The 27,243-nt window shown below is 45.4% G+C and overlaps 1 protein-coding gene across 36 annotated transcripts in view, besides 4 other annotated features; it reads left to right on the forward strand.

Moving 5' to 3' along the window:
• Positions 6,359 to 6,588: a silencer, noted in NCBI's record as "silent region_17681". NCBI's record gives its function as "represses an Ori minimal core promoter by ATAC-STARR-seq in GM12878 lymphoblastoid cells {active_cell/tissue: GM12878}" and the evidence as "EXISTENCE:reporter gene assay evidence [ECO:0000049][PMID:35858748]".
• Positions 6,517 to 27,243, forward strand: part of MTHFD1L (methylenetetrahydrofolate dehydrogenase (NADP+ dependent) 1 like) — a 236,186-nt gene continuing 215,459 nt past the window's right edge. For 21 of the 36 annotated variants that reach the window (NR_146719.2, NM_001242767.2, NM_015440.5 and 18 more), the window contains exons 1-6: positions 6,517 to 6,864; positions 16,905 to 16,989; positions 18,449 to 18,499; positions 18,588 to 18,641; positions 23,577 to 23,701; positions 26,449 to 26,549. Coding sequence is in view for 34 of the 36 variants with exons in the window: in NM_001242767.2 (NP_001229696.1) it covers positions 6,638 to 6,864; positions 16,905 to 16,989; positions 18,449 to 18,499; positions 18,588 to 18,641; positions 23,577 to 23,701; positions 26,449 to 26,549 (643 nt within the window). In the remaining 2 variants the exon portion in view is untranslated. Of the gene's footprint in view, positions 6,865 to 7,147; positions 7,203 to 7,261; positions 8,398 to 16,904; positions 16,990 to 18,448; positions 18,500 to 18,587; positions 18,642 to 23,576; positions 23,702 to 26,448; positions 26,550 to 27,243 lie in introns of those variants that run through there. The other 15 variants (NR_146720.2, NM_001350492.2, NM_001350487.2 and 12 more) reach the window with 6 other exon arrangements.
• Positions 6,649 to 7,058: a silencer, noted in NCBI's record as "silent region_17682". NCBI's record gives its function as "represses an Ori minimal core promoter by ATAC-STARR-seq in GM12878 lymphoblastoid cells {active_cell/tissue: GM12878}" and the evidence as "EXISTENCE:reporter gene assay evidence [ECO:0000049][PMID:35858748]".
• Positions 7,219 to 7,418: a silencer, noted in NCBI's record as "silent region_17683". NCBI's record gives its function as "represses an Ori minimal core promoter by ATAC-STARR-seq in GM12878 lymphoblastoid cells {active_cell/tissue: GM12878}" and the evidence as "EXISTENCE:reporter gene assay evidence [ECO:0000049][PMID:35858748]".
• Positions 7,539 to 7,688: a silencer, noted in NCBI's record as "silent region_17684". NCBI's record gives its function as "represses an Ori minimal core promoter by ATAC-STARR-seq in GM12878 lymphoblastoid cells {active_cell/tissue: GM12878}" and the evidence as "EXISTENCE:reporter gene assay evidence [ECO:0000049][PMID:35858748]".

Below are 27,243 nucleotides of genomic sequence, written 5' to 3' on the forward strand. Positions count from 1 at the left end.
ACCTGACTCCTATCATCCATTGACCTTCTTACCAATTGGCCTCATTCAGTGAAGGTGAGCCCACACCTCAGAATCAGTCTCCTTATCATCCTATACTCTCCACCCCTATATACTACCACCACCTTGAAAATATCTAGAAAATCCCTATTTGATGGATATTTCGATGGATGACCTTCTCAACATCCAGCCCTTTATTTTCTTGACTTGCTCATGGCCAGTGACCTTCACCTGCATTCACTTTAACCACTGTACACAACAGAGTGCTTTGTTGTAAATGATAGTAATTGACTCTAGCAAACTTAGATCACCAATTTGAGCTGTTTCTTCACCTCCTTCTTGACTTTTAAGATGGTGGTAAAATGCACATAAAATTTACCATCTTAACCATTTTTAAATATACAGTTCAGTGGCATTAAGTACATTCACAAAGGTGACACAAACTCCAGAGAATATGCTGCTTGCAGCTTTGATGATTGTATCAACGGTGATAAGTCTTCCCATGTCTGCAGGAGCAGCTGCAGCTAATTATGCTTACTGGGCCTATGTGCCTTTCCTGCCCTTAATTCGGGCAGTTACATGGGTGGATAATTCTATTGAAGTATATGTTAATAATAGTGCATGGGTACCTGGCCCCACGGATGATCGTTGCCCTGCCCAACCCAAGGAAGAAGGAATGATGATGATTATTTCCACTGGGTATTGTTATCCTCCTATTTGCCTGGGGAGGGCACCAGGATGCTTAATGCCTACAACCCAAAATTGGTTGGTAGAAGTACCTACTGTCAGTGCCACCAGTGGATTTACTTATCACAGGGTAAGTGGAATGTCACTCAGGCCACAGGTAAATTATTTGCAGGACCCTTCTTATCAAAGATGATTAAAATCTAGGCCTAAGGGGAAGCCTTGCCCCAAAGAAATTCCCAAAGGATCAAAAGGCCCAGAAGTTTTAGTTTGAGAAGAATGTGTGGCTGATAGGACGGTGATATTACAAAACAATGAATTCGGAACCATTATAGATTGGGCACCTCGAGGTCAATTCTACTGCAATTGCACAGGACAAACTCAATCGTGTCCCAGTGCACATGTGAGTCCAACTGTGGACAGTGACTTAACAGAAGGTTTAGATAAAAATAAGTATAAAAGGTTAGAGTCTCTATACCCTTGGGAATGGGGTGAAAAGGGAATCTCATCACCTCGACCAAAGTTAGTTAGTCCTGTTACTGGTCCTAAGCGTCCGGAACTTTGGAAGCTTACTGTGGCCTCGCACCACATTAGAATTTGGTCTGGAAATTAAGCTATAAAAACAAGAGATGGTAAGCCATCTTATACTATCGACCTAAATTCCAGTCTGACAATTCCTTTGCAAATTTGTGTAAAGCCCCCTTATATGCTAGTTGTAGGAAAAATAGTTATTAACCCAGATTCCCAAACTATAACCTGTGAAAATTGTAGATTGTTTACTTGCATTGATTCAACTTTTAATTGGCAGCACTGTATTCTACCAGTGAGAGCAAGAGAGGCCATGTGGATCCCTGTGTCCATGGACCAACTGTAGGAGGCTTCGCCATCCATCCATATTTTAACTGAAGTATTAAAAGGAGTTCTAAATAGATCCAAAAGATTCATTTTTACTTTGATTGCGGTGACTACGGGATTAAGTGCAGTCACAGTTATGGCCGCTGTGGCAGGAGTTGCATTGCACTCTTCTGTTCAGACGGTACACTTTGTTAACAATTGGCAAAAAAAATTCTACAAGATTGTGGAATTCACAATCTGGTATTGATCAAAAATTGGCAAATTAGATTAATGATCTTAGACAAAATGTCATTTGGATGGGAGATAAGCTCGTGAGCTTGGAACATCATTTTCAGTTACAGTGTGACTGGAATACGTCAGATTTTTGTATTACACCCCAAGCCTGTAATGAGTCTGAGCCTCACTGGGACATGGTTAGATGCCATCTACAAGGAAGAGAAGATAATCTTACTTCAGACATTTCAAAATTAAAAGAACAAATTTTTGAGGCATCAAAAGCCCATTTAAATTTGGTGCCAGGAACTGAAGCAATTACGGAAGCTACTGATGGCCTCGCAAATCTTAACCCAGTCACTTGGGTTAAAACCATCAGAAGTTCCATTATTATAAATTTCATATTAATCCTTGTGTGCCTGTTCTGTCTGTTGTTAGTCTGCAGGTGTACCCAGCAGCTCCGAAGAGACAGCGACCATCAAGAACGGGCCATGATGACGATGGCAGTTTTGTCAAAAACAAAAGGGAGAATGTGGGGAAAAGAAAGAGAGATCAGATTGTTACTGTGTCTATGCAGAAAAGGAAGACATAAGAAATTCCATTTTGATCTGTACTAAGAAATATTGTTCTGCTTTGAGATGCTGTTAATCTGTAACTTTAGCCCCAACCATGTGCTCGCAGAAACGTGCTGTATCAAATCAAGGTTTAATGGATTTAGGGCTGTGCAGGCTGTGCCTTGTTAACAATGTGTTTGCAGGCAGTATGCCTGGTAAAAGTCATCGCCATTCTCCATTCTCTATTAACCAGGGACACAATGCACTGCGGAAAGGCGCAGGGACCTCTGCCCAAGAAAGCTTGGGTATTGTCCAAGGTTTCCCCCACTGAGACAGCCTGAGATATGGCCTCATGGGAAAGGAAAGACCTTACATCCCCCAGCCCGACACCCATGAAGGGTCTGTGCTGAGGAGTAGTGAAAGAGGGAGGCCTCTTTGCGGTTGAGATAAGGGGAAGTTTTCTGTCTCCTGCACGTCCCTGGGAATGAAATGTCTCAGGGTAAAGCTGATCATGAGATAGGAGAAAACCACCCTGTGGCTGGAGGCAAGATATGCTGGCAGCAATACTGCTCTGTTACTCTTTGCTACACTGAGATGTTTGTGTAAAGGGAAACATACATCTAGCCTACATGCACATCCAGGCACAGTACTTTTCCTTGGACTTATTCATGATACAGATTCCTTTGCTCACATGTTTCCCCTCTGACCTTCTCCACATCACCCTGTTGCCCTGCCACACTCCCCTCACCAAGATAGTAAAAATAGTGATCAATAAATACTGAGGGAACTCAGAGACTAGCACCGGTGCAGGTCCTCACATGTTGAGCACCGGTCTCCTGGGCCCACTGTCCTTTCTCTGTACTTTGTCTCTGTGTCTTATTTCTTTTCTCAGTCTCTCGTCTCCACCTGACGAGAAATACCCACAGGTGTGGAGGGGCAGGCCCCCTTCACATGTTGGTCAGGCTGGTCTCGAACTCCCGACCTCAGGTGATCTCCCCACCTTGGCCTCCCAAAGTGTTGGGATTACAGGTGTGAGCCATCGCACCCGGCCCACTTTCTAATTTTTTCTCCTACTGTTTTTCCCTCCGTAGTCTCTTTTGTGGCATTGTCTTCCTCTGCTTCTTTCTTGTTTGTGTTTTTTGGTGCTATTGTAGGTCCTCCTGTCTTCTATACACTCTCTCGGTGATCTTACCCATAACCATGGTTATCAAATCTGTATCTCCATTTTTGAACTTTCTCCTGAGCTATACATCCATGGATCCAACATCCTACTCCACATCTCCACTCTGATATCCCATAGGCATGCCAATCTTGATAGGGCTAAGCCTGTTGCTTCTCTCCTCTGGTCTTCCTCTAGGAATAGCACCACCTATACTTCAAGCCAGAAAGTGGGGCTTCATCCTTGACAACTTCCTTCCATATACCCTCTAAATCAATCAAATCCTAAAGGCTACCAATGGTTCCTCTTACTTATCTCATGAATCCATCCACTTTTCACCAATCCATTGGTCAAGGATATACTCAGGAACTTCTCGTTTCTTCTCCTGTTACTGAAACAGTCTTCGGATTTGTCTGCTGCCTTCACTTTCTATTGTCTACGCTGTCGCTGCTGTGATCCTTCTACAACACACATCTGAGATTGCCACTCTCCTAATTCTAAATCCTTCAGTTGTTTTCCACTGCTTTCAAAATGCAATGCAATGGGCTGGGCGCAGAGGCTCACTCCTGTAATCCCAACACTTTGGGAGGAGGCCGAGGAGGGCAAATCACCTGAGGTCAGGAATTTGAGAGCAGCTTGGCCAAGATGGCGAAACCCTGTCTCTGCCAAAAACACAAAATTAGCCAGGCATGGTGGTTGGCTGTAATCCCTGCTACTTGGGAGGCTGAGGCAGGAGAATTGCTTGAACCTGGGAGTGGAGGCTGCAGTGAGACAAGATTGCGCCACTGCACTCCAGCCTGGGCAATAAAGCTAGATTCCATCTCAAAAAAAAAAAAAAAATGCAATGCAATGGTTTCGTGACCTGCCACAACGTGGCCCTGCCCAGCTCTTCTTACTTGCCATTGCTACTCATTTTCCCCTGCCCTCCCCACTCGACTGAACAGCTCTCAGTATCTCAAATTCATCATGCTCTCTTCTACTCCAGACTTTTGCTCATGTTGTTCCTTCATTTCCAACATTCCCACTTTTCCAACACTGACCTTCCCTTAGCTCATTTCCTTCCCTTAGCTGACCTTCCCTTAGCTCAACTGCTAAGGTCTTGCCTCCAGCTGCCACCTCTTTCACTTTCTTCAGGAAGCCTTTTTTTTTTTTTTTTTTTTTTTTTGAGACAGGGTCTCACTCTGTTGCCCAGGTTGGAGTGCAGTGACACGCTCACAGCTCATTGCAGCCTCAATCTCCCAGCTCTGCCAGTAAACAGATGGGCCTCTCTGGACCCCAGTTTCCAAAGGTTGAAGGTCAAGACAATAGCTCTCAATTCCCTACTTTTGTTAGGATTGTATGAAGGGTCCTTCCAGCACTGTCCCAGTATGGTGCTCGGCTAATGGAAAACCAATCTCTGTAACTTGGACTAGTTTTATTCCCACCTTATCTGGGAATTATAAGGGTATAAGGTTGTAAAAATATAAAGTTAACAATCTGACCCTCACTTGGGAATCATAAAATTACAATCTGATATCCACTTTACTTGGAACTTATGGTCAGCCCTCTGTATCCTCAATCAACCTGGGACTGAAAGTATTTGAAAAAATTACAATAACAAAAAATAATAAAAAATCATAGAAATAAAAAAGTACAGTGTAATATCTATTTACATAGCATTTACATTGTATTAGGTATTATAAGTACAGCAGGTCCTGGAATAACATCATTTCATCATTTTGCTCAGTGGTTTTCTTATAATGATGAGAAAAAAATAGATTTCTGGCTGGGTCCACTGTCACGTTTTATCCATGTCTGTGTGGATTTTCTCTGTCTTCTGGTGTCCTGTCACATCCCAAAGCCGTGCAGTGCACTTTAGGTAAATTGGTGCATCTACACGATCCGAGTGTGAGTGTGGGTGTGTGTGAGCACACCCTGTGAGGTGCCCTGAGTTGGAATAAGCCGGTAAAAATGATCTCACTTTTATTAATCTTTATTTTTCTCTAAGCGAGAGGGATAGGGGGTGTTTAAAAAAAACTTTTTCTTTGAGACAGAGCTGTGCTCTGTCGCCCAGGCTAGAGTACAGTGACATGATCTCGGCTCACTGCAACCTCTGGCTCCTGGGTTCAAGCGATTCTCCTGCCTCAGCCTCCCGAGTAGCTGAGAATACAGGCACGCGCCACCACACCCAGCCAATTTTCTGTATTTTTAGTAGAGATGGGGTTTCGCCATGTTGGCCAAGCTGGTCTTGAACTTCTGGCCTCACGTGATCTGCCCACCTCAGCCTCCCAAAGTGTTGGGATTATAGGCGTGAGCTAAAAATCTTCCTTAAATATATGCATGGCTCACACTTATTTCAATGTTTAATATTAGAAGTGTTTTGGTCTTTATTTCGAAGTTTAGGGGCGATTTTGTGACCACAGATATGTTGTAGGAACTTCACTCATATCAATTAGCCTGTGGTCAAACTGTTTTCCTTACAGTCATTTGGCTTAAAGTTTCAGTTTCCAAGAACCCCTCCACGATGTTAGGTGAGGACTTAGGGAATGTGGAGATGACCTAAAGTTTATGATGGGAAGATGTGTGTAGGTGATATGCAAACACTTTTTTTTTTTTTTTTTTTTACCAAGGACTTGAGCATTTGTGGACGTGGGTCCCCTGGAGGGGCCCTGGAACCAATCAGGACTATAAAATCCTTTTAAGGTTTTAAGAAGAGCATTGTTATCTCTGTGGTACTGACGAAGACCCCGCAAGCTCACCGAGATTAAGTGCCCCTGCCTAAGGTTACAAAGCCTCTTATCCTCAGGCCACCTCCAGTACAGCAAATCCAAGCCCTCCCGTCTAAACTTGGCGCCCTGAGTACCAAGGGTCACCTCGGCCTTTCAGGCTGAAGGGAGGGAGGCTGAGTCTCAGGGCAGAGTCTGAGTCCCACTCCGCACCCCACCCTCTGTCTGGTACAGCTTACCAAACCAAAGTGCCCAAAGCCGTGACATCCCGGCCGGCGGCTCGCAGGCCCCCGCCCTCCGCACGTCACGGCCGCCGGGTGCAGTGCCCCCTAGGGGCCCCTGGGACGAGGAGGAAGCGCCAGGTCCTTCCCGCCGCCGCCGCCGCCGCCGCCGCCTGCTCCCCTGGCACGCGCCCCGCCGCCCTCGGCAGCCGCAGCTCCGTGTCCCCTGAGAACCAGCCGTCCCGCGCCATGGGCACGCGTCTGCCGCTCGTCCTGCGCCAGCTCCGCCGCCCGCCCCAGCCCCCGGGCCCTCCGCGCCGCCTCCGTGTGCCCTGTCGCGCTAGCAGCGGCGGCGGCGGAGGCGGCGGCGGTGGCCGGGAGGGCCTGCTTGGACAGCGGCGGCCGCAGGATGGCCAGGCCCGGAGCAGCTGCAGCCCCGGCGGCCGAACGCCCGCGGCGCGGGACTCCATCGTCAGGTGAGTGTCGGGTCTGGCCCTGGCCCAGGTCTCCAGCGGCTGTGGCCCCGACCCAGGGGCGGAGCGCCCGGGACCGCCGTGGGGAGCGGGGCGCGGGGCTGCGAGTGTTTGGTGCCAACTCATTAGGGGGGCCGGGCGGTGTGTCGGGAAACGCGGGCTTGGGCACTGCGGCCGGGAGCGCTGGCGGAGAACGGGGGATCCAGTACCCGACCGGGCCCGCAGCGCAGGTGGGCGTGGGCATCTCCAATGGGCGCCTAGCGGCATGGACCGCACGCCCGGCTCCACGTGCGCAGCCGGCCGCCGGCTCTGATGCAATCGCGCCGGGCGCGACCCAGACGGTAAAGGGGCGGTGCGGCTGGGGCGGAAACCAGGGGAGGGGGCGAGGAGCAGGAGGAGGGCGGGGCTGCGGCTCGGCGCGCCGGCTGGCCCGGGGTTCGGGAAGGGCAAGCGGAGCTCGGGAGAGGCGGGCTCGGGCCCAGCGCCGCCCGCGCGAAGCTCCCTGGTGTTGTGCGCCCTTCCCCGCGCGCGGCCCCTCCTGCTGGGCTGGGGTCTGTGGCTGACGTCCGCTTTTCCCGGAACGGCAAAGGTGGAGCCGGGCCCCCGGGACAGCCGCCGGGGGGAATCCGAGAGGTCTCAGCGCTGGTTTCCAGCTTCGCCGCGCAGCGCCCACGGAGTCCCCGCGCAGCTGGGTTTGCAGGGTTTTCTGCGGGCCCAGAGCGAACTGGGAGCCCCGGGCCCGGCCTTTCCCGTCCCGGTCCCCGCCCCTGGGCTCCAGCCTTCCCCGCCCTCGCCCAGAGGGGCGCACGGGTCTCGGGCCTTGCAGGGCGAGCCCTTCGGGACAACTTGGGGGTGGCAAGAAAGCCCCTTCCGCCTCCCTCGGAACTGGGATTAGGAACGAGTTCCAGGATGCGGTTTCCCCGGCCAGCGGACCACCTCCTCCATTCACATCCTCTTCCCTTTCCTTCTAGCCTTCTTTCTTAGTCATTGCCTGCTTGCCTTTCTCTCTGCCTTTCCTTCCTCCCTCTGCTCTCCCATTTTCCTCCCCACTCCCCTTCTCCCATCTCAGTAAAATACGTTTCCTAGGCTCTTTATTATGTGGCGGATGATTTTAAGGGGCCATTTATTTAGTTTTTCTTGTTCTCTGTCTTCTTTTTCTTTTAGAAATGGAGTCTCGCTTTGTTGCTCAGGCTGGAGTTCAGTGGTGCCATCTCGGCTCAATGCAGCCTCCGCCTCCTGGGCTCAAGCGATTCTCCCGCCTTAGCCTCCAGTGTAACTGGGACCACAGGTGTGCGCTACCATGCCCGGATTATTTTATTTTATTTTCATAGAGACAGAGCACCACTCTGTTACCAGGCTGGTCTGGAACTCCTGGGCGCAAGCCATCATCCCTGCCCCCAAAAGCGCTGGGATTAATTACACGTCAGGTCATTAGGTTTTAACCTGCACGTTGCTGAGACTCATCTTACCGGTTAGAGTCTGAAGCCAGGATAGGCGGCAAAAAAACTTCTCCCGTCATGCTGTTTTATTTTCTAGGTAAACTGATTATTACCTGAAACTTCCTTCTTTGCTCATTTCTTGTCTGTCTCACCCACCTGGAATATGAGCTTCATGAGACAGCCGTCTCTTCGGTGCTATATCCTAGGTCCTGGAGAGAGTGCCCAGCATGTAATAAGCACTTGTGAAATGGTTACAGAAGGAATGCTTCAAGATTTGGGGTCATCTGTGGGTTTTATTCATACATATTCTTTTTTTTTTTTTTTTTTTTTGAGACGGAGTCTTGCTCTGTCACTCAGGCTGGAGTGCAATGGCACGATCTTGGCTCCCTGCAACCTCTGCCTCCCAGGTTCAGGCGATTCCCCTGCCTCAGCCTCCCGAGTAGCTGGGATTACAGGAGCACGCCACCACGCCCGGCTAATTTTTGTATTTTGAGTAAAGACAGGATGTCTCACCATGTTGGCCAGGCTGGTCTTGAACTCCTGACCTCAGGTGATCCGACTGCCTTGGCCTCCCAAAGTGTTGGGATTACAGGCGTGACCCACCGCGCCTGGGCTATTCATGCATACTTTTAGGTTTAAAGCCATGACTGCCTTAGAGATGAGTAAAGAGGTTAGTAGGGGGCTTTAGGGCCTGCACTGGGTTCTCCAAACTCAATTCCTTCAGGAAAATGGGAGGAGTAACAGTACTTACCTCAAGGGGTTATGGAAACAATTATGTGAGAGGACACATGCAAAATACATAGCCCAGGACTGTCACATACAAGACAAGTCCCTCAACAAATGGTGGCTATTAATTTTTTTTTTTTTTTTTTGAGACGGAATCTCACTCTGTCGCACAGGTTGGAGTGCAGTGGCGGGATCTCGGCTCACTGCAACCTCCGCCTCCCGGGTTCAAGCGATTCCCCTGCCTCAGCCTCCTGAGTAGCTGGGATTACAGGCTCGCACTACCACGCCTGGCTTATTTTGTGTTTTTAGTAGAGACGGGGTTTCACCATGTTGGCCAGGCTGGTCTCAAACTCCTGACCTCGTGATCTGCCTGCCTCAGCCTCCCAAAGTGCTGGGATTACAGGTGTGAGCTACCATGCCCAGCAATATTTTTACAATTCACTAAGCCAGGGGTCCACAGACGTTTTATATATAATGGGCCAGATAGTAAATATTTTAGGTTTAGTGATCCTAGAGGCAAATCAAAATTATTAGTAGGTACATTTATAACAAGAGAAAAGACAAATTTAGGCCAGGCACCATGGTTCATGCCTGTAATCCCAGCACTTTGAGAGGCCAAAGTGGGATGATCACATTCCCAGGAGTTCAAGACCAGCCTGGGCAACATAGTGAGACACCCATCTCTGTAAAAAATTTTAAAAAATTAACTGGGCGTGGCGCGTGCCTGTAGTTCCAGCTACTCAGAAGGCTGAGGCAGGAGGATCACTTGAGCCCAGGAGGTCAAGGCTACAGTGAGCGGAGATTGCGCTACTGCACTGCAGCCTGGGCAATGGAGTGAGACCTTATTTTTTATTTTTGCAATTAAGTATTTTTAATTAAGGTATGTACATTTTTTAGACAATGCTTTTGCACACTTAATAGATGGCAGTATAGGGTAACCATAACTTTTATTTTTATTTTCTATTTTACTTTAAGTTCTGGGAAACGTGCCGAACGTGCAGGTTTGTTACATAGGTATACATGCGCCATGGTGGTTTGCTGCACCCATCAACCCGTCATCTAGGTTTTAAGCCCCACATGCATTAGGTATTTGTCCTAATGCTCTCCCTCCTCTTGCCCTCCCACCCCCTGACAGACCCTGGTGTGTGATGTTCCCCTCCCTGGGTCCACGTGTTCTTATTGTTCAACTCCCACTTATGAGTGAGAACATGGGGTGTTTGGTTTCTGTTCCTGTGTTGGTTTGCTGAGGATGATGGTTTCCAGCTTCTTCCATGTCCCTGCAGAGGACATGAACTCATGCTTTCTTATGGCTGCAATTTTATTTTTGTAGAGATGAAGTCTCACTATGTTGGCCAGGCTGGTCTCAAACTCCTGGGTTCAAGTGATCCTGCTGCCTCAGCCTCCCAAAGTGCTGAGATTGCAGGCATGAGCCACCACGCCTGGCTATATTGTACCTTTCAATTGAGTTATGTGCATGGTTTACTGAAACTCTAGCCCTGAATTGATTCTCCGAGGATTGGAGCAAAGTGGGTGGGGGTGTGTGTCAGCTAGAAGTCACCTGGAATAGACATCCAGGAGCGGAAGTGTATTAGTCAGAAAAATTAAAGAATGAGCTCCCTCAAAAGCATAGTGACCTGTTGTTCCTGGTGATGGGACTAGATGACCATAATCCCTCAGCCTCCCAAGTAGCTGGGATTACAGGCAGGCACCACCACACCCAGCTAATTTTTGTATTTTTAGTAGAGACGGGGTTTCACCATGTTGGCCAGGCTAGTCTTGAACTCCTGACCTCAAATGATCCACCCGCCTTGGCCTCCCAAAGTGTTGGGATTACAGGCATGAGCCACTGCCCCTGGCCAGTAATAATACATTCTGTATAATAGTCACAGTAATGGTGAAAATAACAAAGCTGCTGCTGATGGCTTAGTTCTGAGTTTTAGCTACACATGGCAACCTAGCTAGAGAGCTCACATTCCTTCCCACTGTCCTCAACCAAAGTGGAAGCTCACAAGGCCATTTTTCTGCCCCAAGGACATGAAAATCTCTGATTAGAAACATTTATGCTACTTTTTGGATTTATTGAGCCTAATGACTCCTTTTTCTTTCTTGCTTTGTCACTGTAGGAATGAGTAACCCCAAAAAATGAAACATTACACATATAACAAGTTGTAGGGAGCATGAACCTATTTTGTTTTATTAGCTTGGGTGGTAGTAGCGTTGAACTCCTTTACATACCTGTACAGGCACCCCTAAGATATTGTGGGTTCAGTTGCAGACCACTGCAATAAGGGGAATATCGCAGTAAAACGAGTCACACAAATTTTGTAGTTTCCCAGTGCATATAAAAGTTATGTTTAGACAATACTGTAGCCTATTAAGTATGCACTAGCGTTTTGTCTAAAAAAAAACCCATATATAAGGCCGGGCGTGGTAGCTCATGACTGTAATCCCAGCACTTTGGGAGGCTGAAGTGGGTGGATCACGAGGTCAGGAGTTCGAGACCAGCCTGGCCAACATAGTAAAACCCTGTCTCTACTAAAAATACAAAAATTAGCCAGGCATGGTGGTGTGCGCCTGTAGTCCTGGCCACTTGGGAGGCTGAGGCAGGAGAATCGCTTTAACCCGGGAGGTGGAGGTTGTGGGGAGGCGGAGGTTGTGGTAAGCCACTACACTCCAGCCTGGGAAACAGAGCGAGACTCCGTCTCAAAACAAAACAAAACAAAAAAACCCAAAAAACATATATATATATATTATATATATAAAATATATATAATATAATATACCTTAATTATAATATAATATAATTATATATACCTTAATTTATATATATACCTTATAATATATATACCTTAATATATATACCTTAATTATATATATACACACCTTAATATATATATAATATATATTAATATATATCTTAATATATATATATAAGGTAATATATATATACACCTTAATAATAATATATATACCTTAATTTTAAAATACTTTATTACCAAGAAATGCCAGTGATCTGGTGGAGGATTTGCCTAGATGTTGATGGTTATTGACTGATCAGGGTGATTGCTAAAGATTAGGGTGGCTGTGGCAGTTTTTTAAAGTAAGACAATGAGGTTTGCTGTATTGATGGAACTCTTCCTTTCCTGGAAGATTTCTCTGTAGCAGTGCTACAGAGAAAATGGTAACATTTTACCCACAGTAGTAGGACTTCTTTCAAAATGGGCGTCAATCCTCTCAAACCCTGCAACTGCTTTACCAAGTACTTGATATCAACTACTGTAATCTTTTTTTTTTTTTTTTTTTTTTTTGAGATGGAATCTTGCTCTGTCGCCCAGGCTGGACTGCAGTGCTGCGATCTCGGCTCGCTGGAACCTCCGCCTCTCAGGTTCAAGTGATTCTCCTGCCTCAGCCTCCTGAGTAGCTGAGACTACAGGCGCCTGCCACCACGCCTGGCTAATTTTTTTGTATTTTTAGTAGAAACGGGGTTTCACCATATTGGCCAGGCTGGTCTCGAACTCCTGACCTTGTGATCCGCCCACTTCGGCCTCCCAAACTGCTGGGATTACAGGTGTGAGCCACTGTGCCTGCCTAACTACTGTAATCTTATAAATCCTTTGTTGTCATTTTATTTTATTTTAATTTTATTTTATTTTATTTTAATTTAATTTTATTTTATTTTATTTTTTGAGACAGTCTCACTCTTTCACCCAGGCTGGAGTGCAGTGGCGCGATCTCTGCTCACTGCAACCTCTGCCTCCCGGGTTCAATAAATTCTCCTGCTTCAGCCTCCCGAGTAGCTGGGATTATAGGCGTGCACCACCATGCCCTGCTAATTTTTTTATTTTTAGTAGAGACGGGGTTTCACTATGTTGGCCAGGCTGGTCTCCAACTCCTGACCTCGTGATCCGCCCGCCTCGGCCTCCCAAAGTGCTGGGATTACAGGTGTGAGCCACTGCGCCCGGCCTAATAAGGCTGTTTTCTTATCATTTGTGTATCCACGGGAGTAGCACTTTTAAATTTCTTCAATAGCTTTTCCTTTGCATTCACAGCTTGGCTAACTGTTTGGCTCAAGAGGCCTAGCTTTTGACCTATCTTGGCTTTCAATACACCCTCCTCACTAAGTTTAATTATTTCTCGGTTTTTATTTAAAGTGAGAGACCTGCAACTCTTCACTTGAACACTTAGAGGCCACTGTAGTTACTAATTGTCCTAATTTCAATATTGTTGTTTCTCAGGGAATAGGGAAGCCAGAGGAGAGGGAGAGAGAAGGGGGAACAGCCAGTCCAGTGAAGCAGTGAGAACACACACCATCATGAACCATCATGGCCACGGTTTGGCCAACACAATTACAACAGTAACATCAAAGATCGTCAATCACACATCACCAGAACAAACATACTAAAAATGAAAAAGTTTGAAATATTGTAAGAATTATCAAAATGTGACACAAATTGAGCAGATGCCATTGGAAAAATGACTCCCATAGACTTAAAACACAGGTTGCCACAAACTTTCAATTTGTAGAAAAACACAGTATCTGTAAATTGCAGTAAAGCAAAGCACAAAAAATGATGTATGCCTGTATTTTTTTTTCTATCCACATCCACCCCCCAACTTTTTTTTTTTTTTTGGTAGAGACCAGGTCTTGCTATCTTGCCCAGGCTGGCCTTGAACTCCTGAGCTCAAGTGATCCTCTCACCTCAGCCTCCCAAAGTGCTGGGATTACAGGCATGAGCCACTGCGCCCAGCCCCCATCCCCAACTATTTTAAAAGTCTAATTACTTTTTGACGATTGCCGACTTACCTATAGAAGTGTTCCTTTCAGCCCGGCGAGGTGGCTCACCCCTGTAATTCCAGCACTTTGGGAGGCCTAGGTGGGCGGATCACGAGGTCAAGAGATCGAGACCACCCTGGCCAACTTGGTGAAATCCTGTCTCTACTAAAAATACAAAAATTAGTGGGACGTGGTGGCATGCACCAGTAGTCCCAGCTACTCAGGAGACTGAGGCAGGAGAATCGCTTGAACCTGGGAGATGGAGGTTGCAGTGAGCCGAGATCGTGCCACTGCCCTCCAGCCTGGAAACAAAGTGAGACTCCGTCTCAAAAAAATAAAAAGAAGTGTTCCTTTCATCAACTATGAATGGATCAAGACTATGAATGTTTCTGAGAAAATTATTGCTGTTAGTAAGAATGTTTTTAGTGTTTAAGGGTAGCTTTGGGGCACAGAAAAAAACAAACGTACATTTATAAGAAAAAGGGGAAAGAGCCACTGTAGTATACCTGTTTTACAGATGAGGAATCTGAGACTCTTAGAGACTTGTCCACGCTAGTAAATGAAATGCCCAGTACCAATCCTGGGCCGTATTTCCACTTAGTGTCTCAGAATTACCTGGACTCTGTTAAAAATGCACATTTCTGGGCTCCACTGAGACACGTTGAATCAGACTTTCTAGGGCTGGAACTGTTATTTTTTTTGAGACAGAGTCTCGCTCTGTCACCCAGCTGGAGTGCAGTGGCATGATTTTGGCTCACTGCAGCCTCTGCCTCCTGGGTTCAAGTGATTCTCCTGCCTCAGCCTCCTGAGTAGCTCTGGGATTACAGGTGTGCACCACCATGCCTGGCTAATTTTTGTATTTTTACTAGAGATGGGGTTTCACCATGTTGGCCAGGATGGTCTCAAACTCCTGACCTCAAGTGATCCATTTCACCTTGGCCTCCCGAAGTACTGGGATTATAGGTGTGAGCCACTGCACCTGGCCTGGAACCTTTACTTTTACCAAACTCTCCAGTGATCCTTATACCATGAACCGCTTGGGTCCCACACTCCGGTGCTTTCCTGGACCCAGACAAAAATAAGAACCCAGCATAGCCAAATTAACAGTCACGACAGGCTGGAAAGAGTGCGGTATATGGGCCTCAGTCACCCATTATTGGATGGATGGATTTTAGTGCTTATTTATAAGGTGATTTGTAAACTTTCCCATATGGTCACATTTATTCAGCACAATAATACAATTAATTCCCTGGGAATGAAGTAGCTTTATCCCAAGTGTTTCCAAACAAAACTAACTGAAATGTTCCCAGGTTATAGACAGTTGCCTGCACCCAGTCCATCTGTTCCGGCCCAGCTGGCAGTAGAAAGACTGGTCCTGGTTGTGAATCTGAGCAGCTCTCTCCCCTAAAGCCCCGCCTGGGAACTGCAGTGCCTCTGGTTCCATTTGTCAGCTGTGTCTCTCTGAAAACTGGGGAAAGCTTCCCGATGCCTTTCTGCTCTTGGCAGTGTACCGTTGATGGCATTGGCTGGAACTTCTTCACCCCGCATTTTTGTTAGGTGCAGTGCAAGACCCTGTCGGAGACTGAAAACAAAATGTAAAGGTGGTCTTAGCACTGAAGCCTGGGGGCTCCTGTGGCTGCGCCTTTGGTCTATTGTGAGAGGGGGAAAAGCCAGCTCCCAGTGCTCATGTGCTGCTGAGAACATATCATAGGGTGGTGGCGAAGGTAGCCTCTGCAGTCACTCATCCCAGAAGGTTCCATAAAGAGCTGAGCTCCTAACACTTTTTTTTTTTTTTGAGACGGAGTCTTGCTGTGTTGCCCAGGCTGGAGTGCGGTGGCACAATCTCGGCTCACTGCAACCTCTGCCTCCCAGGTTCAAGAGATTCTCCCGAGTAGCTCAGATTATAGGCGCCTGCCACCACACCCAGCTAATTTTTGTATTTCTGGTAGAGACGGGGTTTCACCATATTGGCCACGGTGGTCTTGAACTCCTGACCTTGTGATCCACCCGCCTCAGCTTCCCAAAGTGCTGGGATTACAGGCGTGAGCCACCGCTCCTGGACTTTTTTTTTTTTTCTTTTTTTAAAAAGAAATTGAGTCTTGCTCTGCCACCCAGGCTGGAGTGCAGTGGTGCAGTCATAGCTTACTACAGCCTCAAACTCATGGGCTCAAGCGGTCCTCCAGCTTCAGCCTCCCAAGTATCTGGGACTACAGTCACGTGCCATCACGCCCAGCTAAATTGTTTATAGAGATGGGATCTCGTTATGTTACCCAGGCTGGTCTCAAACTCCTGGTCTCAAGCAGTCCTACCGCCTTGGCCTCTCAAAGTGCTGGGACTACAGGTGCATGCCACCATGCCAGGCCTTCTACCACTTTTACCTAGGCCTGCTCACCCCAGGCTGGCACCTCCCTCAGAGGTGGGAGGTGAAGGTGGCTGCTGCTGGGCATTTAGGAGGTACAGGTGCAGACTATGTTGTGGATTCTCAGAGGACTGAGAAGCTCTCTGTCTCTCTCTCTAGGAGGCTTTGATAGTGTTATCAAAGTGGGTCTCCAGTGTTTCTGGAACTTTCCTCCCCTTCCTTCCTTACCTAATTCCTTCTTTAAATTCCAGGACCTGGAATTTATCCTGTCTCGACACTTCTTGTCCAACAGTGAGCCCCCTGTCTTCACCCCCCTAATCCCCTGTCTTCACATCCCTCTTCCCACTTTATTTGCTTTCCCCATGGACCCATACTCAGGGTTTTGGGAGGATGGCAGCGGAGTATGGTGGAGGAGAGCGATTATTTAAAGTAGAAACCCAAAGCTTTTATTATAGTAAACTTGGAAAATACAAGAGAAAAATTCACCCCTAGAAAATTATTGTAAACATCTAGTTTGTTTCCCTCTGCATATTTTAAAAACTGGATTGCCGCATTTTACCTTGTGTTAGTGTCTTGATTTCATTGTTACGCCGCCTACCCCCTCCACAGTGTACACTTGGAGTGCGTCCTTCTGTGGTCTAGTTATTTTCACTTGGAGGAAGGAACTTTCACAGAAAATGTGTTGTGTCAGTCCTTTCTACTCATTAACCAAGAAATCACAATGTTGTTTTCTTTCTCAATGTAGAGAAGTCATTCAGAATTCAAAAGAAGTTCTAAGTTTATTGCAAGAAAAAAACCCTGCCTTCAAGCCGGTTCTTGCAATTATCCAGGTAAGCCGAGAACAAGGTTCAGTCCTACTATTTTAGGATGCCTTTCAATTTAGAAAATGATTGTATACAAAAGAGCAGCTGCATTTCTTGCCAAAGAGGAGAGGGCTCAGTTGGCAATGCTGTTTTCTTTGGTCTTTTGCTTCTTTGGGGTCACGGGTGAAGTACTGCCCTGCTTGAGTGTGTCTTCTTTTGTGAATTTTCCTCTCTGAGGTATGGGTAGCTTTCAGAGGTCTAGGAGGTAAGCACTTACATGCATTGCATTACACAGGATATATCGTGGTCCATGTGTCCTCACAAATGCTTACCAAATGTGATTTGAAGGTGCTGGGGGAAAAAGTGGCACTTTGTTTCAATGGACACAGATGCTAGATGAAACATGGATATTTGGTAATCTTTTTACTCTATCTTTTAAAACCTGCCATAAACTTAATGGGACAAAAGTCATTACCCTGTCAAAAGGGCTTTGCATTCCACATACTTCTTTTGGCTGCAGGCTCTGGTTCTGAGCCACAGTTGGCCCCAGTTGCCATCCTGCTTGGCACACTTGTGTGATGGCAGGTGCTGAGAAATAAGGAGGTGAGCCAAGCCTGGAAGCAAACACAGCCTGACAGTTGGGCTGCTACCGCAGGGCTTGGCATGCCCTTAGCGTATCAAAATAGCAGCCTCTGGTTCCACCGTGCTGCGTATTTCAGGATTACAGAGCTGTGCTCAAGTTACTTACATTCTCTGGGATCTGTAGCCACATCTTGTTACAAAGAAAGACAAGTTAGAACAATAGAAAGAAAATTAGATTAGGGCTCGGGCCTCCTGGGAATCTGCTTACTCCCTGGCTTTCCATCTAAAGGCAAACCATTTCAACTCCTACCTTTGGTATCCCCATTTTTTGGCTTCTTTTTGTGATGGGGTCTTGCTCTGTTGCCTGAGCTGGAGTGCAGTGGCATGATCTTGGCTCACCGTAGCTTTGACCTTCTGGGCTCAAGTGATCCTCCCACCTCAGCCTCCTGAGTAGCTAGGACTGCAGGCATGCACCATCACGCCGGGCTAATGTTTGTATTTTTTGTAGAGATGGGGTTTCACCATGTTGCCCAGGCTGGTCTCGAACTCCTGGGCTCAAGCAATCCACCGCCTCAGCCTTCTGCAGTGCTGGGATTACAGGCATGAGCCACTGTGCCCAGTCGGTGTCCTCATTTTTAGAGAGGAAAGCTGGCTAGGTTACTATGTCTTCTAATAGGAGGGATATTATTTTCCTTAAAAAAGTGACATAATTTGAAGGCCTGAGGAATTACTCTGTTAAATACTGGCCCCAAGTCCCTTTTTATAAGCAGCAAGATTGTTTTTCTGCACCTTCCATATTATCTTTGTAATTAGATCATCTGTAATCACAAAATTCATCTCTGGATTATCTTTTGTGCCTTTTCAAGCTATTTTTATGTTGTTATGTTGTTTTTACCTTCCTAAGGCAGGTGACGACAACTTGATGCAGGAAATCAACCAGAATTTGGCTGAGGAGGTGAGGACTGCTGCTTTTAAAAAATTCACTATAACTTTTAACAATACATTCTCTTATAGTGACGAATAACCTTGTGTTCCTTTTTCAGGCTGGTCTGAACATCACTCACATTTGCCTCCCTCCAGATAGCAGTGAAGCCGAGGTAATAATGGCAGAGCTCTAAACTCTTGCTTCTTCTTTCCTCTTGAGACTTAATAGGCCCATTGGCGTCTCTTAGTGGTGGCTGGGACAGATCTAAGATTTGCTTGTGACTGAATGTTAGAGGGAAGACTTCACTTCTTTTCTCTAGGGTAAATGCTTCATGATATCCTTGTTTCTTGTCATTTGTATGTTTCTACTGAAGACTTGAGTTGCGACTTGTTGAGTTCGGTTGTGTTTCTTCAGCTGCGGTGGCAGCGTCATCTAGTGGAAATTGTCAGGCCGAGGCGAGGAAACTGGACCTTGGACCACAGATCCCTGTGCCAGGGCCCGGCCCTTCTGTGGTTAGCTTTTCTTCCTACTGGCTTCATGTGACAGAAAACCTCAAATAATGGAATCTTAAATAATGTACAAGTTTATTTCTCTCTCTCTCTCTTTTTTTTTTTGAGATGGAATTTTACTTTTGTTGCCCAGGCTGGAGTGCAATGGTGCCATCTCGGCTCACTGCAACCTCCGCCTCCCAGGTTCAAGCAATTCTCCTGCCTCAGCCTCCTGAGTAGCTGAGATTACAGGTGCGTGCCACCACGCCTGGCTAATTTTTGTATCTTTAGTAGAGATGGGGTTTCACCATTTTGGCCAGGCTGGTCTTGAACTCCTGACCTCAAGTGATCCACCCTCCTTGGCCTCCCAAAGTGCTGGGATTACAAGTGTGAGCTACTGTGCCCGGCCTAGAAGTGTATTTTTCTGGGACATGAATAAAGTTTGGAAGTAGGCAGTCCCTGGTTGGTGATATCACCAAGTCGCAGGAGCTCAGGCTCCTGTCCCTCTGCTCTGCCGCCTTTGTGGTTTGGTTAACAAGCACTTTGTTCTGATTGATCAGTGAGGCCCAGCAGGTCTGCTAGTCATTTGTGAGACAAAGAATGGGAATTTGTAGAGTTTGTATCTGGCCTTGTGCTATGTAAACAAGGGGGCATTGGTGAGTCTTATTTGAGTCCTATGGAGAAGAGCAGTTCTTTGCAGTACACAGAGGCTGCAGGGATTTGTTAACCTTCCCTCTTTTCCAGGATCACAGGGCTCAGGTAAAGTTCGTTGTCACCAAGAAGAAAAAGGAAGGACAAAGACAGGCCCCTGCTGTCTTTAAAGACATTTCCTGAAAGTCACAGTTCTACATCCATCCCGTTGTCCCCTACTTAGTTGCCTGGCCAACTGCAAAGGAGGCTGGGAAGTGTAGTTTTTATACCAGGAAGCCTTAGATCATTTATTAGCAAGCTAAAAACCAAGAGTTTATTACTAAGAAGAGAAAGGAAACTATATACTGGGCGATAAGTGTTTGCCACACTTGCCATTGTAGCGTGGTACAAATATGAAGTGTTAAATATGTAACAAATACCTATGATACCAGCAGTGACAGCATGCAAAGGAAGTTGTTGTTCATTTGCACGATACCCACTGTCTGCAGCAGAATTTGCTTTTCTTTCTTTTTTTTTGAGATGGAGTCTCGCTCTGTCAGGCTGGAGTGCGGTGGTGCAATCTTGGCTCACTGCAACCTCTACCTCCCGGGTTCAAGTCATTCTCCTGCCTCAGCCTCCCAAGTAGCTGGGATTACAGGCGCCCGCCACCATGCCTGGCTAATTTTTTGTGTTTTTAGTAGAGACAGGGTTTCATCATGTTGACCAGGCTGGTCTTGAACTCCTGACCTCAGGTGATGGCCTGCCTCTGCCTCCCAAAGTGCTAGGATTACAGGTGTGAGCCACTGCGCCCAGCTGGAATTTGCTTTTCTTTAGGTTGTTTTGCCACTGGTGTTTTTTTTTTTTTTTTTTTTTCTGAGACGGAGTCTCACTCTGTCACCCAGGCTAGAGTCCAATGGCGCAATCTCCTCTCACTGCAACTTCCACCTCCCATGTTCAAGTGATTCTCCCTGCTCAGCCTCCCAAGTAACTGGGTTTACAGGCACCCGCCATTATGCCCAGCTAATTTTTGCATTTTTGTAGAGACGGGGTTTCACCATGTTAGCCAGGCCGTTCTCGAACTCCTGACCTCAGGTGATCTGCCCTCCCTGGCCTCCCAAAGCGCTGGGATTACAGGTATGAGCCACCTCACCTGGCCTTGACACTGGTATTAATAGCCCTTGATTTTCGTCGTTGTTGTTTATAATTGACACATAATAATTGTGCATGTGTGTGGGGTACAGTGTGGTGTTTCGGTACTTGCATATGTTGTGTAATGATCAAATCAGGTTAGTTACATTCATCACCTAGAACGTTTATCATTTCTTTGTGGTGATAGCTTTCAAGATCTTTTCTAGCTGTCTGGAAATATACAATACATTGTCATTAGCTTTAGTCACTCTACTATGTAAGAGAACACTGGAATTTATTCCTCCTATCTAAGTGTAACTTTATACCTACTGATGGACCAACCTCTCCCCATTTCCCCTCCCCCATCCCTCTCCAGCCTCTGGTAACCACCATTCTATTCTCTATTTCTATGAGATCAGCTTTCCTAGATTGCACATGTAAGTGACATCCTATGATATTTGCCTTTCTGCACCTGGCTTATTTCACTTCATGTTATGTCCTCCAGGTTCATCCATGTTGCCACAAATGACAGGATTTCATTCCTTTTTATGGTTGAATGATACTCCATTGTGTATACACACCACACTTTCTTTATCCTCCATTAATGGGCATTTGGATTGGTTCCATCTCTTGGCTACTGTGAATAGTGCTGTAACAAACATGGGAATGCAGACGGCTTCTCAGCATAGCGGTTTCAGTTCCCATGCGTATATACCTAGTGGTGGGAATGGCTGGGTCATATGGTAGTTGTTTTTTTAATTTTGTGAGAAATCTTCATACTGTTTTCTCTAATGGCTATATTAATCTGCATTCCCACCAACAGTGTACAAGAGCTCCCCTTTCCACATATCCTCGCCAGCATTTGTTATTGTCATTTTTGATAATAGCCATTCTAGCTTGATATCTCATTGTGGTTTTGATTTGCATTTCCCTGATAATTAATGATGTTGAGTGTTTTGTCATATACCTGCAGGCCATTTGTATGTCCTTTGGGAGATGTCTGTTCACGTCTTTTGCACATTTTTTATTTGAATTATTTGTTTTTTTGTTATTAAGTTATTTGAGTTCCTTATATATTCTGGATGTTAACCCCTTGTCGGACGCATACTTTGCAAATATTTTCTCCCATTCTGTAGGTTGTCTCTGCTTTGTTGATTGTTTGCTTTGCTATGAAGAATGTTTTTAGTTTGATATAATCCCACTGATGTATTTTTGCTTTCGTTGCCTATTTTGTTGAGGTCCTATCCAAAAAAACCTTGTCCAGACCAATGTCATGAAGCATTTCCCCTGTGTTTTCTTCTAGTAGTTTTATGGTTTGAGACCTTATATTTAAGTCTTTAATTCCTTTTGAGTTGATTTTTATAGAAGTGAGCGATGAGGGCCTACTTTCATTCTTCTGCATGTGGATATCCAGTTTTCCCAGTGCTATTTATTGAAGAGGCTCTCTTTCCACAATGTGTGTTCTTAGTACCTTTGCCTTGACTTATTTTTTGACAAGGAATCATTTATTCCGTATTTTTCTTTGGGAAAATTCTCATAGAGTGAATTTGTATGGTGTTATATTGAAAAAGAGTAGGTACCTTAATTTATTAGTTAAGATTTGTGTTGGCATTTGTTGCTTCTACCAAATGCTTGGTACAGGTGGCAATAGTTTCCTCGCTTCATTCTGGTCTCTGCTTGGACATCGTGGCCTCTGACCACCCTCCACCCATCATCACTCTGTTAGCCTTTTACCCCACTGAACCTTTATTTTTCTGCATGTCATTTATTCTTTCCAGTGATTTTATTATTATTATTATTTGGAAGGGAGGAACTTCCCTCCTCCACTAGAGTATAAGATCCACGAGGACAGTTTTGTTTATAGCTGTATTTCCTTTACTTAGAACTGATACAGAGTAAGTGCTCAAACCATTTGTTGAATGAATGAAAGAATGCCAAATGAATGAAACAAAGCTTTCTTTCTGATTTTGTACCTCAAATGGTTTCCCCTGCCACTGCACAGGTAGTGATTTTTGCTAGGCAATGAAACAAAAATGGTAAACCAACCCTTCCCCAGAGCCTCTGAGTGAGATCTATATGCAAAGATAAGTATCTTCTCACTTGTGAGCAAATATTTTTGTTAAGTGAGATGAATCAGGATCTTATCTCCTGGCATAAAATAGACAGAGAGGACAAAGCATTGCTTATTTAGAGACACACCCAGACATTTATTAGCTTCCCAAAATGTAGCTTGGTCTTTTTCCTAAATAGTGAATTATTTTAGTGTTTCCCATAAAAGGAGCTGTGCATGCTAAGAATTTTTCTAGCATAAGCCTTTGGAAAGGCTTCTTGTGTGTCATTGAGGTCCAGATAACCCGAGGGCCTCTGTGACTGCTTGGACGTCATGATTAGTGAGCTGTGTTGAACACATTGTGTTTGAAACGCACAGGCTTAGCTGGGCCAGATTGGAATGCTTCAGATTCATGCTTCCTGTCCTTCCTGAAAACTGGCAGTGTGTTTGGCTTAAAGTATGCTTGTTGACAGAGAAGTGTCCTTTGTCTATCTAAACCTTAATAGCTGTTGAGCTTTGGTTTTGTTCTGTTTTGTCTTTTTCTGGCACAGAGTAGAGCCATAGAAAGGCAGAGAAGTCACTAAAAAATTCAGCCAAGCCTTTTAATTTTTTTTTTGAGCCTTGTACACATGATGAAAAGAAAAAAATAGGCTTTTTATTATGCTTTACACCAAGTTTCCAACAAGGAGCAAAACAACAACAAACTATAACAGATGCATTTTCATGAATCCACTTTTTATATAAAGCTTCCTTTGTTGGGTCTCATTTTCACAAAACTAATTTTTATTTTGTTTTTTTGTTTTCTCTTTAGATTATAGATGAAATCTTAAAGATCAATGAAGATACCAGAGTACATGGCCTTGCCCTTCAGATCTCTGAGAACTTGTTTAGCAACAAAGTCCTCAATGCCTTGAAACCAGAAAAAGATGTGGATGGGTAAGAAAATAAAATCAAATAATCAACCTTTATGGCTAAATCACTTTTTCTATTGTGCCTGCTTTTATTTTTCTAAATTTCTTCTATTTATTTCAACTGTGTCAGTAATTGGATAAAAAAATCATTTTAAATATTTCAGGAGTCTATAGGATTTTTTTTTTTTTGAGATGGAGTCTCGCTCTGTTGCCCAGGCTAGAGTGCAGTGGCGTGATCTTGGCTCACCACAACCTCCATCTCCTGGGTTCAAGCGATTTTCCTGCCTCAGCCTCCTGAGTAGCTGGGATTACAGGCATGCGCTACCATGCCTGGCTAATTTTTGTATTTTTAGTAGAGACGGGGTTTTACCATGTTGGCCAGGATGGTGTCTATCTCCTGACCTTGTGATCCACTCACCTCAGCCTCCCAAAATGTTGGGATTACAGGCGTGAGCCACCGTGTCTGGCCATCTGTAGCCTTTTAAAATTCTGCATGCAAAAGTTACATATTTTGGAAAATACATTAGCCCTTTTATAGTGCTTCAATGCCATATGATCTTACACCATCAGATTCATTTAATAAATTCCGGTCTGACTTATACAATCTTTAGCCAGCTCTATTCTTCTAATAGTTTTTTCCTTGGTAATTCTACCAGACCAGAGAAGAAAACTTAGAAACCTGATTCCCCAGCAGTACCATATTCTGTCTTAGTCCCAGGCCAGTTGAGAAAAGCAAAATAAATACTTTTCTTAATGACACAAGGTTTTATTTGAAATTTGGAGGGGAACATCATAACTATTGGGTGCTGTAATGTTGGCCTGTGATTCATGTCATGGAGTGACATAAGCTTCATAGAACAAAGGATACCGGCCGTCTCCAGTGGGGGATAAGCATGCTTCCTGGGGATTAAAACCCCATTTTCCTCCATGGAAATATAGGAAGTGTTTTGTACTGTGGCCAAAAAGAACACAATGTGTTAATGGTTATAGGTTGTAAGCAGATTTATAAAGTTAGATTCCAGATCCGGTAGACCCTGCAGGGGCTGGATGGGGAGGCTACCACCTTCCTGAGACACCCAGCAATCTTCCATTCTAGCCTTTTATTGTGACTTGAGTAGACCCAAACACAGGCTGAAAAGGTGTCATGAACACCTCCAGTCCTGGCTGGGCACAGTGGCTCACACCTGTAATCCTAGCACTTTGGGAGGCCAAGGCAGGAGGATCTCTTGATCTCAGGAGGTCAAGACCAGCCTGGACAACATAGTGAGACCTCATCTCTATTTTTTTTTTTTTTTTTTGAGACAGAGTCTCACTCTGTTGCCCAGGCTGGAGTGCAGTGACACGATCTCGGCTCACTGCAAGCTCTGCCTCCTGGGTTCACACCATTCTCCTGCCTCAGCCTCCCGAGTAGCTGGGACTACAGGTGCCCACCACCACACCTGGCTAATTTTTGTACTTTTAGTAGAGACGAGGTTTCACCGTGTTAGCCAGGATGGTCTCGATCTCCTGACCTCGTGACCCGCCTGCCTCGGCCTCCCAAAGTGCTGGGATTACAGGAGTGAGCCACCGCGCCTGGCCCCTTGTCTCTATTTTTAAGTAAATAATTAAACATTTTTTTAAAAAACGACAATCTCCAGTCCTGTCGTAGACTAACTGTAAAAGGAGAAGAAGCACTAATCCATGAGAAAACTTTCAGAACTTGAAGGTCCTAGGGCATAGTTTCAAGTCTTTCATAAAAGGAGGGGAATTCATGCTGAGGCCCAGCCAGGAAAAACCAACCAAACAAAAACAACAGAGAGTAAAAGGAGAAATTACGAAAATGGTTCTAAATGTCTCCATTCTGTTACTGAGATTGACGTGCTCAGTTTAGGCTAGATAGCTGTGGAATGTTTTGTCCTAGATTTGAACAGGGAAAGGCACAGAACCCTTCAGAAGTGTGTGGTCACTCATTTTTTCCACTGCCCCCCACCCCGACTTCTCAAGGAGATAAATATCGAGGTCAAGTTGAAATCAGACCTGTGACCTGTGCCTCAATCCCAGGTCTTACTGGGTCACTCCAGATTTATAGGATTGGTTCTGGGTTTTGAGTGGACTGCAGGACCATGCTTCTGTGTAACTCTAGGGATGCTAGTCCATTGGGGTCCATTGAAAGGAGCTCCCTGGAGTTGCGAAGTGAAGCCCTGTATGGCTTTAGGCTGTGTCCTGGTATATTGGCAGAACCGGAACACCCAATGTCAGGGCCAGGGTGAAGTTTCCTAAGGTACTGCCTTAGAATTTTCTAAGACCTTTATTGAATGGCCTTTATTGCCTGCTTTCTCTTTAATTCATTTTTTATGGGTTTTTTTTTTTTTTTGAGATGGAGTCTCGCTCTGTTGCCCAGGCTGGAGTGCAGTGGCATGATCTCAACTCACTGCAACCTCTGCCTCCCAGGTTCAAGCGATCCTCCTGCCTCAGCCCCCTAGTAGCTGGGATTACAGGCACGTGCCATCACGCCCAGCTACCTTTTGTATTTTTAGTGGAGTTGAGGTTTCGCCATGTTGGCCAGGCTAGTCTCGAGCTCCTGACCTCATGTGATCCACCCGCCTCAGCCTCCCAAAATGCTGGGATTACAGGCGTGAGCCACCATGCCTGGTCCTCTTTAATTCATTTTTATGTATTCTGTCTATCAAACATTGACTTGGATGTTATTTGGGGTTAATATATGTACATTACACGTGAGTGATTTTTTTGGCTGGGCTTTGACTTAACCTACTTCTTTATTTTCTGATTCAGAGTAACAGACATAAACCTGGGGAAGCTGGTGCGAGGGGATGCCCATGAATGTTTTGTTTCACCTGTTGCCAAAGCTGTAATTGAACTTCTTGAAAAATCAGGTAGGATGCTCCTTGAGAAATGCCGCTGATTTCTATTTATTGGTATTTACATTATTTTTAATAAGGATTTGTTTGGGGAAGAATTAAAAATTTTTTTAAATTATTATTCTGATATCCTTTTAGGATGTTTCTAGAAGATTCTAATTGAACATAGAAGTGATATTTCACGTTGACTTTTTTTATTTTTCTCATCTTTTGGGAGATACAGATGAATACCTAGAAACTTTTTCTAGTAAGACCATCTTATAAATTAAAAGAGAAATTAGTAGAGATAAACGATTAGCCCTGTTTTAAACATGCTCAATTTCTCTCATGAAACAGTCAAAATAACCACAGTAAAATATGCTTCCAGTTTCAGCTTACTAAATCTATCAATATGTAGCCTTAGATAAGACTTACGTTGAAGACTTAAATGAGGCCAGGCACAGCGGCTCATGCCTATAATCTCAGTGCTAGGCGAGGCCAAGGCCAGAGGATCACTTCAGGCCAGGAGTTCGAGACCAGCCTGGGCAAACATACTGAGACCTTGTCTCTACAAAAAAAATTTAAAAATTAGCTGGGTATGGTGGTGTGCACGTGTAGTCCCAGCTATGCTGGAGGCTCAGGCGGGAAGATCGCTTGAGCCCAGGAGTTTGAGGTTACAGTGAGCTGTGATTGCACCACTGCACTCTAGCCTGGGCAATATAGCAAGACC

The sequence above is a fragment of the Homo sapiens genome, chromosome 6 (genome assembly GCF_000001405.40).
Source record: "Homo sapiens chromosome 6, GRCh38.p14 Primary Assembly".
Lineage (NCBI taxonomy): Eukaryota > Metazoa > Chordata > Mammalia > Primates > Hominidae > Homo > Homo sapiens.